The 12,404-nt window shown below is 44.2% G+C and overlaps 1 protein-coding gene across 3 annotated transcripts in view, besides 1 other annotated feature; it reads right to left on the reverse strand.

Annotated features, from left to right (window-relative positions):
- GNAT2 (G protein subunit alpha transducin 2) overlaps positions 1-12,404 on the reverse strand; it is a 16,526-nt gene continuing 4,122 nt past the window's right edge. For 2 of the 3 annotated variants that reach the window (NM_001379232.1, NM_001377295.2), the window contains exons 2-9: positions 9,663-9,833; positions 7,375-7,417; positions 6,950-7,091; positions 5,541-5,698; positions 3,218-3,346; positions 2,880-3,009; positions 861-1,014; positions 1-454 (exon numbers count right to left, since the gene is read on the reverse strand). In NM_001379232.1, coding sequence (NP_001366161.1) covers positions 264-454; positions 861-1,014; positions 2,880-3,009; positions 3,218-3,346; positions 5,541-5,698; positions 6,950-7,091; positions 7,375-7,417; positions 9,663-9,780 — 1,065 coding nt within the window. In that variant the 5' untranslated portion in view covers positions 9,781-9,833 and the 3' untranslated portion in view covers positions 1-263. Of the gene's footprint in view, positions 455-860; positions 1,015-2,879; positions 3,010-3,217; positions 3,347-5,540; positions 5,699-6,949; positions 7,092-7,374; positions 7,418-9,662; positions 9,995-12,404 lie in introns of those variants that run through there. The other variant, NM_005272.5, reaches the window with a different exon arrangement.
- Positions 2,803-3,003: a silencer, noted in NCBI's record as "peak357 fragment used in MPRA reporter construct". NCBI's record gives its function as "represses an SCP1 promoter by STARR-seq MPRAs in K562 erythroleukemia cells {active_cell/tissue: K562}" and the evidence as "EXISTENCE:reporter gene assay evidence [ECO:0000049][PMID:32103011]".

Below are 12,404 nucleotides of genomic sequence, written 5' to 3' on the forward strand. Positions count from 1 at the left end.
TAAAGTATTCACAGTTTTGTATTAAGTTGGAAAACCAGTACTGGAACCTGGGGGGTCTTCTAACTACTGGCCTGTGCTCTTTAAGCTGCAATAGCTATCCCACTTTGAAAAGAACGTATGAAATACAGTTGCAGTCATGTATACTCCATCTCCAAAGAATGGATTCATTCTTCATGTCATGGTATATTGACTATAATTTTCTGTTTTTAATTACCCAGATTCCAAGCCTGTTTATAGAACTTATACCTGAGGAATGGTGAGGATTAGAAGAGGCCGCAGTCCTTGAGGTTTTCTTTGATGATAATATCTGTAACTGCATCAAACACAAATTTGACATTCTGTGTATCTGTAGCACAGGTCATGTGACTGTAGATTTCTTTGACATCTTTTCGCATATTGAGGTCAAGGAACTGGCTCTTTATGTAATTCCCCGCATCATCATAGGAGTTGTTACCTGGTTTTCCAGAAAAATAGTGAAAAAGTAGAATAAATGAACCCTTGTTAGTTGCTGACTCACTTTAGGTGATTGACTTGATCCTTGAAATGTTATTAGACAACAGCAGTTGGGGGCCTATTTTTGGAGGGAAGATTCTCTATTGCACTCCAGTGTTTCTCACTTTAGTTGAAAAGAAATTGAGGAGAGGTGTCTTTCCACCTTTGGTTTTCAGTAGGTATCATATGAAGTCAGTGGCTCTCCTGCATCTAATGCCTGCTGTATTCCAGAGTATCTGAATTTAAACCCTGTAACTGTGCCCAAGGTTCTCCCTTAAGTTCCTTTGTGTCATCTTGGCCTAAAAAATGAGACAATTGCCAGTCTCTACTAAAAGGCATTATTATTATTTCCAGCCCCTGACACTTACCATCATACTCTGGAAAACAAATGCTGAGATGGACTTTCTTGATTTTTTCCTCAAAGAGGTCCTTCTTGTTGAGAAAGAGGACAATGGAAGTAGCCGCAAAGAATTTGTGGTTACATATGCTGTTGAACAGATGCAAAGACTCATGCATACGATTCTAGTAAGAGGAAACACCATTGGAAATATCAGATTTGGCTTATAGAATATCTACCTACTTCCTGCTCTTGTTCCCCTTGGAGAGACCAGTGCTCCAAATGTAAAAAGCAAGACAGAGAACAGCTTATCTCAATGTACCAGAGTAAAGCCAGAGAGATGTGGGATCATTCTAGTTCCCTATCTTTCTAATAGCTGTGTGACTTGTGGAAAATTATTGAGCTTTTTCTGAGTCTGTTTTCCTATCTTATAGGGTTACAATGAAAGCTAAATGAGATTGTGTATGTATATTGTCCATGATAGTGGCTGGCATATAGGTCTATAATGTGTTATGCAGATCTTTAGCAGCCAGGATGCAACTGAGAACTTGACATTTTATAAGTAGTGCTGATAATGGGTTGAAACAGGCCCAAGTTAGCATGTGCCCATATGCATCTCCAGGATGATTTTGATAGGCTTCTTTCATGGGGTCCCAGATCTCAGTTTGGGCTACTTTGGTCCTGCTGCCACATGGTGAGAGTTAGAGAATTTCCCAGTGCCATACCACAAGCATTTCTGCTCTCTCATTTCCTTCTCTGATTGCTACTTAGCGAGAAGTCGGGCTGCATATCTGCAGAGGCTGCCCATTGCCCCAGCCCAGCTTGCTTTTAGGGAGCAGGTCTTTAGGGTTTTGAAGTATACTATCAGCTGACTTGCGTTCAGTCTACTTATCTAATAAAGCAAGAACAATCCCATTTGTGGCTTTTTCCCCATAATACTCCTGTACAACCCTTTAAGGTCTCATAGACTTGTTTTATTAATGTCTCATAGACTTTAATAAACCTCATAGACTCATAGACTTTAGGGTTAAAGATGGAAAGTCTCATAGACTGTAATCTTTAGGCTTAAAGATGGGAAGTGAATAGCTCTGTAAGACATTTTGATTAGACGATATTCAGAGTGCTCTAATGTGAAGTTAAAACTACCAAAGGGAAGGGAAGAGAACAAGCTGTGGCAAGGGATAGGAGTATCCCTTTCATCAGCAAGCTGTGGACCTCCATTTGTAAGCAGATGCTTGGGTGAAATTAACATTTTTCACGCCTCTAACCTTTCCCAAATTCAGAGGTCATCAGCAAGGTGTGGACCTCCATTTGTGAGCAGATGCTTGGGTGAAATTAACGTTTTTCACGCCTCTAACTTTTCCCAAATTCAGAAAGCAGATGCTTGGGTGAAATTAACGTTTTTCTCACCTCTAACCTTTCCCAAATTCAGAAACTGGCTGGGCTCTAACACTTGTCCTATAGAACTCCTGTCCTACAGAATTCTACAGGCTAAAGAGAACCACTCTTGGGTAGTCTTCCAGCTGCCAATTTAATTGGCATGAGAGAAAGCTGGTCTGCCAGTCTCTCCTTAAACTCCTACGGACAGTACATTTTTAGCCTCCTAAGTGGGGTTACTAGCTCAACCCTTCTATTATGTTGCAATGAAGATTCATATCATATGTTATTTTCTCTGTTCTGTCATTTTCATCTCCTTCCTTAGGCAATTTGGGAGAGTACTAAGTGTAACTCCTTTGCTTTGCCTAGTTGATGGTCCCTTATCTCTTTGCACTCAATTCCTCTTATGAGCTTTGTGATGTCCAAGTGATACTTAGATGTCTAATTTGAGACCAAGCTCACTGTCAGTAAATTTGGAGCTCTAAAATGCTAATCTAGAACCTGCAGAAGAAGTTGTTTTTTAGAATTATTTGCATGAGACATTGATTGGTCTGCTGGAGGGCTGCTAGACTGAAATTACCTAAGTTGGGGCAGTAGAGTGACACAAGGCTTAGAGAAAGGGTCATGGGGAGAACTTGTTCTACCAAAGCTGCTTGATGCAAAGGCCACTCACCACTTCGTCATCTTCCACCAGCACCATATCATAGGCACTGAGGGCTGCACAGAAAATGATGCAGGTGACTCCCTCGAAGCAGTGGATCCACTTCTTTCTCTCGGATCTCTGCCCTCCCACATCAAACATCCTGAGGGAAGAAGCAGCTATTTTCATAGGTATGCCCAACATACGACCTATATGCCTTTGATGGTCACCCCGTGAAGTGGGAGAGGAAAAGGGGGAGAAGCAGAACAGTAATTTAGATTAGGCTTCACCAAAGGCCAAGAAGCCTGCCTGTGCCCCTTTTCAGGATTCCACACGTGTATCCGAGATGCCCTAGGGAACCATGCACTTACCTGAAATTCAAGTCTTTGACGGAAAACTTGGTTTCAATGATGCCCGTGGTTTTGACTCTGGATCGGAGCACATCTTGCTCACTAGGGAGGTACTCAGGGTCTGTAATTCGTTCTAATTGGTTCAGGTAGCTAGAGAAAAGTGATTAGCATCAATGACAAATTTTCCACAGACGAGGCTAAGAGACGTAAAAGGTATCTTACCCAAAGTCACACAGCTAATTTGGTGATAGAAATCAGGACTAGAAGCCATATTGTTAAATTTAGGATTCTTTCCTTCAAACCTTCATATGTCATTAACTAGAGGAAATGGGGGATGGACTGAGGGACAAGCCCATTTGAGGCTGGAGTTCCAGCGCATTTAAATCAAGTTAGATAAGTTTTCCTTGGGTTTGCCCTGACTGCAAGCTTTTGTAGATTTTTGAATGAGATTTAGTGGGTGCTAAAAGTTCCATCAAGAGGCAGTAAATTGAAAGAGACTTTAAAGACATGAACCAATGCAACACATGGACTTTGTTTATATCCTGAATCAAACTGGGGAGGAAACATTTGAGATAACTGGGGAAATTTGAACACCGACTTGGTGATATTTGATGCTATTAAGGAATTGTTAACTATTTGGGTGTGATTATATTCTTTTTATAAAAAGGGTCAATATTTTAGAGATCCATAATGACATTTTTAGGATGAAATGATACCTGGAATTTGCTTCAAAATAATCCAGTAGGGAATGGAGGTAAAAAGAAATAAGATTGGCCATGAGTTGATAACTGTTGAAGGTAATTCATTATGTTATTTCTACTTTTGTATGTTTGAAAGTTACCTTAAAAAAGAAAAAGTTATTTTTTTTAAAAAAAAAAAAGGTGGCCAGGCACGGTGGCTCGCGCCTATAATCCCAGTACTTTGGGAGGCCGAGGCGGGCGGATCACAAGGTCAGGAGATCGAAACCATCCTGGCTAACACGGTGAAACCCCATCTCTACTAAAAATACAAAAAATTAGCTGGGCATGGTGGCGGGCGCCAGTATCCCCAGCTACTTGGGAGGCTGAGGCAGGAGAATGGCGTGAACCCGGGAGGCAAAGCTGGCAGTGAGCCGAGATTGCGCCACTGCACTCCAGCCTGGGTGACAAAGCGAGACTCCGTCTCCAAAAAAAAAAAAGGCAAGAGGAAGGCAGATGTGAACTGAGATGACTGAGAGGAGGAGGGAAGTACAAGTAACACAAGTGCCTATTGTATGCCAGGCATTTTAATGTTCAGATTCTCGTTTAAACTCCTAAGCCATCAAGTTTCATATCCCCATTTTACAGATGGAGAAATTCAGAAGAGTTAAATACTTGGCTAGGGTCAAGAGAAATTGTGGTGTATTATGAAAAATATTCAGCTTTGTAGTCAAGCAGCCCAATGCAAATGCAGTCTCTGCTATTTATCTACATGACCTTGGGCAGTTAATTAACTTCTCTGAACTTCAGTTTTTCCATGTGTAAAATGAGGCTAATTAGAAAGGTACCATCTACCTTAAGGTCTTACTGCGTAGATGGGTAAAGGGCGTTGAGATGGTATACACAGTACACCTAGCAGTGACTGGGCTTTGAGTGCTCCGGGAACAGTAAGTGATAGCATTATTACAAGATTAGGAGACAGATGGTTAGGTTAAATAAACTCAGGTTTGACTTTGAAGCCCATACTTGTCTATGATCCCATACTGTCTGAGGTAGGATTGATAAATTATGTCCCTTAGCTTTTTGGAAGCAGCTTTGCAATGATGGTACTAATTCCTGACCACCTTCCCTTGGTTTGCCCTTGTAGTTTGTGTCCCCTGCCTTGGCATCGTGACATAAGATGCTCTAGGTGTAGGAGACTCATTTCTGCTTAGTGGCCTAAGTAGATCCTAGATTACCAGATAGAAAATTCTGCCCTGAAAGAGCCATCATGAATCACATTACTCCTGCGAGAGTGTATGACAGAACTGCAGGGCTATCTTAGGGTTCTGGAAGGAGAGGCTTAGTGTACACCTCAATTAAGAGAACAGGGCTGAGGGCTACTAGGCAGAACACGTCTTTTGAATTTTGCATCTTCAGCCTTGTAGGCTGTAGTGAGCCAGTGTAAAGCAATAGAAAGTCATGACAACTGTGGCAGATCTCCCCATAGCATTAAATTCAAAACATTGCTGAAGCCTAACAAAACAGATCCACAGGCTGAATTCAGTCTGGGTCTCCAGCTTTCAATGCCTGAAATTTTGGGTTGGGTGAGGTTTCTCCCAACCAGAGAGAAGACTGGCTAGAAGATTGCTTAAGCATCAACCCACCCTCTCACCAGTCAGTCTTACTAAGATGCGGAGTCATTAAGCTGGTATTCTGCAGCTCTCTCGAAGCAGGCTTGCACCCCACCATCCTTCCACAACCTCCTAATGACCTCCACGAGCTCAGGAGGCATGGTTCCCTCCTCAATGGAGTCAGCCAGGTTGTTGAGCTGTCGCCCGTCATCCTGTAATGCAGAAACCTGGTTAAGAACTTCACAGGAGTAATAGCTTTCCAGGAGGCTTCTGGGAATACTGCTGAATGGAAATCATTTTACATTACTACGAAGACCTAAGATGGAAGCAGTATCCAGTGAAGATTCTATGTAAGAAAACATACTGTTGAATTTTTGAGTATGCTCCCCAGATGCAGAGGGTGGCACTATACCCAGCCCTGGGGTGTGTCTAAAGCGGGGCAGGGGTCCCAGGTATTTCCTCTCTGGAGTTTCTGGCTTCCATCCTTAGTCTGAAAGTTTACCGCCACAAAACGTGGGTCCTCTGCTGCAGAGAGACTGAAAATGTAAAGGCCAGATTGACCATGAAATAGACAAGATAGAAGACAGGGACCCATCACCTTTGTTCTTCAGCGATTGAAAGCTAGAAAAAGTCCAGTACTAGAAGTAGGGATTTCACTTACAAAAGTTCCATGGCCAGGAACCCAAGGGTAGCAATTTAAATGGTAAAGTAAAAAAGCAGAGGAAGCTGTGAGCAGCTTTATTTTGTAAATATGTGTTATAAAGTAGGGCTTGAGGACAGGCACGGTGGCTCACACCTGTAATCTCAACACTTTCGGAGTCTGAGGCAGGAGGATTGCTTAAGGCCAGGAGTTTGACACCAGCCTAGACAAGATGGCAAGACCCCTTCTCTACAAAAAAATTTTAAAAAATAGCTGGGTGTGGTGGTGCACACCTGTGGTCCCACCTACTGGGGCTGAGGTGGGAGAATCACTTAAGCCTGGGAGGGTGAGATTGCAGTGAGCCATGATCACACCACTGCATTCCAGCCTGGGTAAGAGAGGAAGACCCTGTCCCAGTAAAAATAAGGGTGGATGTTGCTTACTTCTCCAGGACTGCATAATTGTGGTGTATTATGAAAAATATTCAGCTTTGTAGTCAAGCAGCCCAATGCAAATGCAGTCTCTGCTATTTATCTACATGACCTTGGGCAGTTAATTAACTTCTCTGAACTTCAGTTTTTCCATGTGTAAAATGAGGCTAATTAGAAAGGTACCGTCTACCTTAAGGTCTTACTGCGTAGATGGGTAAAGGGCCTTGAGATGGTATACACAGTACACCTAGCAGTGAGATCCCACCCAGCAGGTGGGATTTTAGTTACTATTTTTCTTACCCATCTTTCCATATAGTTTGTTGGCCTCTGGTATGTTTCTTCTTGCTAGCCTTTCTGCTTCCACCCTTAACCACATAATAGTAATCACATACCGCACAGCTTGGTTCAGCATAATCGATGCCCAGTGTGGTCATGGCCCGGATGATAGCCAGGATGGACTGCAGCACATTTCCATAGATGATAGCCTTGAACTCCAGGCATTCTTCTGGTGAATAGCCATCCTGGTGAATGATCCTGCAAGGGGCAGACACTCTGTCTTTAGCTGGACCTGAGTAACCAGACCTAAGGGATTAGGAATTTGGGGGTATTTAAAGGATCATAAGAATCCTATCTCTCTGTTGCTACTGCTTTCTCAAAGTGGAGGGTGAGGGACAAGGGGTACAGATGAGGGGCATTGGAATCAGATCCTTTATACCTGGGCTCCTTGAGGCTAAAGAGCCTTTCACTTTGAATACCTCCACTGGCTGTACTGACTTCTTCACCCTATCTTGTCTTTTGGGGCTTTGTTTCTACTCACTTCATCTGTTTGACGATGGTGCTCTTTCCTGACTCCCCAGCACCTGGAAGGAAAAATGCTTATGCTTTCGATTTCCACCAGTTCTCCTCAGCCTTCCAGGAGATGGCCTGGGAGAAGTCAGAGCCACTGCTTGCTTGGGGGTCTTGTTAGGGGAGAATACATAGGGATGACTGCTGCCCTCAATTTCTGGCAGGCTTGAGCTCAGGCCATTCAACCTGGATTTAGAGCAGTTTCTTAACTTCAGTACTATTTAGTTTGGGCTGTCTCATGCATGGTAGGATGTTCAGCAGCATTCCTGGCCTCTACCCACTAGAGGCCAATAGCATCCCACTTCCCTAGTTATGACAACCAAAAGTGTCTCCAGACATTTCCAAATGACCACTGGCAGTCAAAATCTTCCTGTTGAAAACCACTAACAGATTCAGGGGGAGTCCTTTAACATTTCTCCTCTCTGCCTATTTTTGACTCAGGAGAGTGATCTTGGGGTAGGATTGGAGAGAGCTGGATCATTTCACCAAAATAACTATATTTTCATCACCTTGCTGGTTCCCTTTTTTTTTTTTGAGACAGGGTCTCAGGTTTGTAGCCCAGGCTGGAGTGTAATGGCACAATCTCGGCTTACTGCAGCCTTGACTTCCCAGGCTCAAGTGATCCTCCCACCTCAGTCTCCTGAGTAGTTGGGATTCCAGGTGTGCGACATCATGCCCGACTACATTTTTTTTTTTTTTTTTGAGACAGTCTTGCTCTGTCTCCCAGGCTGGAGTGCAGTGGTGCTATCTTGGCTCACTGCAACCTCTGCCTCCTGGGTTTTAAGCAATTCTTCTGCCTCAGCCTCCTGAGTAGCTGGGACTCTACAGGCGCATGCCACCATGCCTGACTAATTTTTGTATTTTTAGTAGAAATGGGGTTTCACTATGTTGGCCAGGCTGGTCTCAAACTCCTGACCTCAGGTAGATCCACCCATCTTGGCCTCCCAAAGCGCTGGGATTACAGGCGTGCGCCACTGCATCCGGCCATTTCCCCCCGCCCCTCCGTAGAGGCAGGTTTTCACCATGTTGCTCAACCTGGTCTTGGATGGGGCTAAGTGGGTTCCCTTTATTGACTAATGTGTCCTAATGTCCTCATTCACACTCTGCTCTCTCCATCAAAAACTCATACCTTCTAGTACTGAGTTTATACTACCCTAATGCCTCGAACTCCTCCTATTTCGCTTGTGCTTGTTCCCTCTAAGCAGCTTATCCTGAATGTAGAAGAAATCTGCTTAGGCTTAAAAGATCTCTCAGTGGCCCCACCATCTCTGTTTCCCCCTGCGTAACCTCCTGGGCTCCTTAGAGTCTGGTCCAGCTTACAAAGATATGCTCCTTTAGTGTGTCCTTACGACTGTGCCACAGATCAGCTGGGGGAAAAGAAGGTGCCTTAGCCTAGTGCGTCAGCTCCCAGATCCCTTATGGGGGCTTGGAAACCCAGCTCAGGCATCTAATCTTCTGCTACGTAGACCCTACCTGCTCCAGCTACCCTACTTCTGTGGTACCAGTGGTTTGTTTTCCTAAGCCACGTGTCTCAAATGTTCTTGTCTTGGTTTTATTTACAGCTGTGATCAATTTCCCTGACAAATTGAGGTGCTTTTATTTTCTCAGCACAGACCAGTGATCTGCTTAGGAGCTCATCAAGTTGATGAACCTTCCATCTGGCAGGAGCTTTGCAGGCAGCTATTGAATAGAGAGCCAGGAAGGGACTGCTGTACATAAAGACACCATTCCTCCTTCCTCAGAGCCCCCTACTTCCAAAGTTTTTACTGAAAGCAAGAAGGAACCACTATACTTGGCAAAAACCAGTGGGACTATCTCTGGTACTGTTGGCACTGACTGTATGGTGGGACTTGTGAGCCTGTTGGTGAGGGAAGGTCCTGTTCTCTTCTGATTTCTTGGCTTAGAGTTCTCTGCAGATTGGGTACAGTCTGCAAGTCCAGGGTCCTTGAAGCCAAAAGGATGTGTTAGGTTTGGTTAGATTTGGAAATGGGTGGGTTCATGGTGGCCCTTGCACTATTCCTCGCTCAAGAGTAGAAAAACTCTGGAATAGCCTTGGCATTCTGGATCCCCTTGGGGTGGCTGTTTAGGCCCCATATTAACTCAGCTCTAGATCTCCTGATCCCCTAGCCAGACTGTGTAGAGGAGAGGAAAAATGACCTGCCACCCTTCCTTCCCATGGGGTGAGGTAGAACCCACCAACCCTTCAGGAAAGTAGGAAGGACCCCTGCCTTCTCTGGCTCATCTTCCCATCTCACTCACCCAGCAGTAGCAGCTTGACAGTCTTGGCTTCCTTATCAGCATCCTCCTGCAGCTTCTTTTCTAGCTCCTTGGACCTCTTGGCCAGTTCTTTGTCCTCAGCACTGGCTCCACTTCCCATATTTGCCGTCTTGTCAGCTTTTTCAGGCCCCTAATCCTCTCTCGTAAGGTTTCCTGTATGTGAGATGGAAGAGAAGGAAAAAAGTTGGGATTGAGTATCCCAACTTGGCTCCCCTAAAAGCTGGTCTGTACGATGGCAGGTGAGAGAGCAGGCTGTAGGGTCTTGTACTCTGCCTACATTGACTGAGACTCCCTACTTCAACTGGAGACCTACTTCTTAGTCTAGGGATTGTAGCCTTTATATCTAGCAATGTGATAGGTCAAGCCAATTAAGAGCTTTGTCAATATGGCAAGGGGTAAAGACTCAAATGTTTCTATAACTAGGGAAATGATCTGCTGGGTTCTGACGGAAGGATAGGATGCACGACTACTTCCATCCTTTAAGGGGTTCATCCCCTGAAAGTCTCTTGCTTCCTTAGATTTATTTGCATCATAGAGCTAGAGATTACTGGCACATATGTAGAAAGCATTCCTTATGTTGAGCCTCCAGATTATAAGGTCTTGATCTCAAGGGCTTCAGGGTATCAAAGCATACTCGTTTACCATAGGCTGGTCCTGGCCAGGAAATTTGTTTTGGGTGGTGCCCTTCCTTGGGAAGATTAGGAATGTTTCAGCTCCCGCAGTGGCTGCTGCTCCAGGAAGCTACTAGCATTGTTCCTTTGCATTGGCCCCTCTCTTTGTACTTCTGTTATTAGCACTTATCACTTCATATTGTACGTCGTTTTACAAATCTTTTCCCTCACTGCATTTCTCCCCCTGGAGCTCAACGGACCAAATCTGACTCATCTTTGAACCTCTCAGAACTTGTAGTTTATTTGTGGATCAAAAGGTTTGGTGAATGAATAAATGCAGGAAAAGGGTGTATGGTGAAGAGAATGGGGTTGCTTCCCTTTGGCCCACTAAAGCCAGCTGAGTCCCAACTTCACTTCATAAATGAACTTTGCTGGTATTCAGTGTGGGGTTTGTGCTGCCTCACACAAAAAACTCTGCTTCTTTGGGAAATTGGACTCCAGACTCTGGCTTCTCAAAGGTTGGGGCAGCTCTCTCTCCTTCTGGCTCTCATCCCAGCTGCCCTTTCCTGGGGGAAAAATGAGGGTGCAGTCTAGCAACTGCCTCACAGACATTTAGGACTCCACAGGTTGTACTCCTCTATGCCAATTATTTCAGTTTACTTAAATGAGTGTTGCTGGCGGAGCCTCCTCAGGTGGAGATGTTTTAGAATTTTGTTGCCCAAAATGTGGATCAAGAGCCAGCAACATCAGATCACCCGGAAGCTCATTAGACATGCAGAATCTCAGGCTTTAATCCAGAACTTCTGATTCAGAATCCGCAGTTTAACAAGATCTCAGGTGACTCTAAAGACATTAAAGATTGGGAAGTACTGCCCTAGGGACCTGTTTTCCGCTAAACTTACCTAATCCTAAGAATCACCTGGGTTGCTGGTGTCTGTGTTTCCTCAAGTCTTAGGTGCCACTGACTAGAAGATTACCCTGCTTTCCGAGATGTTAAAATAGTGTATGTTTTTAAATGGTATGTTAGCATCAAACTCCAGAGCCAGAGAAAATATTTTAAGCTAATACAGGTAGTTATCACATCTGTGAAGTTTGAAAAACCCTGGCCTGAAACAGTTCTCAACTTTTAGTGTACAGTGGCATTTACCTGGAGAGCTTTTTAAAAAATACTGATTTAATTGGTCTGGAGTGCAGTCCAGGCACAAGGATTTAAAAACGTCCCCAGCTGATTCTAGTGTACAGCCAAGGTGGAGAACTACTGAGGTCGAAGGATGTAATTTGCTCTTTCATTTTAGAGCTGGACTTGTGCAGCAGTGGCCAGTTGGGACTGGGAAGGTCAGGAGTAGAATCTAGGTCTCCCCGCCTATCAGGTACCCTGAGCCATAGCTAATTATCTTCCTCCTTCGCACCACCTTTCAGTGACTGTAGGGGCTGATGGAGAAATATGCAGCTGCTGAGGTGCTTTCCATGGTAGCCATGTTTTCCCAATCAAATTGGCAAGTCCTTATTGACTTAAGGAAAAACAGGAGAGTCTCTTTGAAATTGTGACTATCTTGGAATCTTGGTTATAAGGTTTCAGTAATTATACCCCACTGCTAGCCCTGCTCCAGCGTACTCACAATACTGGTAACTCACACTGAGGCCAGAGCCATGCTGAAGGCTACACTGTTCAAGGGGCTGCCTGGAACTATTAATAATTATTATGTTATAGTTATTATAATTAATAACTGCTGAACAATGTAAGTGGCTCATACCAGTTAATTATCACAATAACTGCTATTGTCCCCAATTTACAGACTAGATTAACTGAGACTTGAGAGTTAAGTAACTCATTTAAAGTCAGCTGGGCATAGTGGCGCATGCCTGTAATCCCAGCACTTTGGGAGGCTGAGGTGGGTGGATGACCTGAGGTCAGGAGTTCCTGGCCAACATGGTGAAATCCCGTATCCACTAAAAATACAAAAATTAGGCCGGGCATGGTGGCTCACGCCTGTAATTCCAACACTTTGGGAGGCCAAAATGGGCAGATCATCTGAGGTCAGGAGTTCGAGACAGCCTGGTCAACATGGTGAAACCCTGTCTCTACTTAAAAAAAATACAAAAATTAGCCAGG

The sequence above is a fragment of the Homo sapiens genome, chromosome 1, assembly GCF_000001405.40.
Source record: "Homo sapiens chromosome 1, GRCh38.p14 Primary Assembly".
NCBI classification, from domain to species: Eukaryota; Metazoa; Chordata; class Mammalia; order Primates; family Hominidae; genus Homo; species Homo sapiens.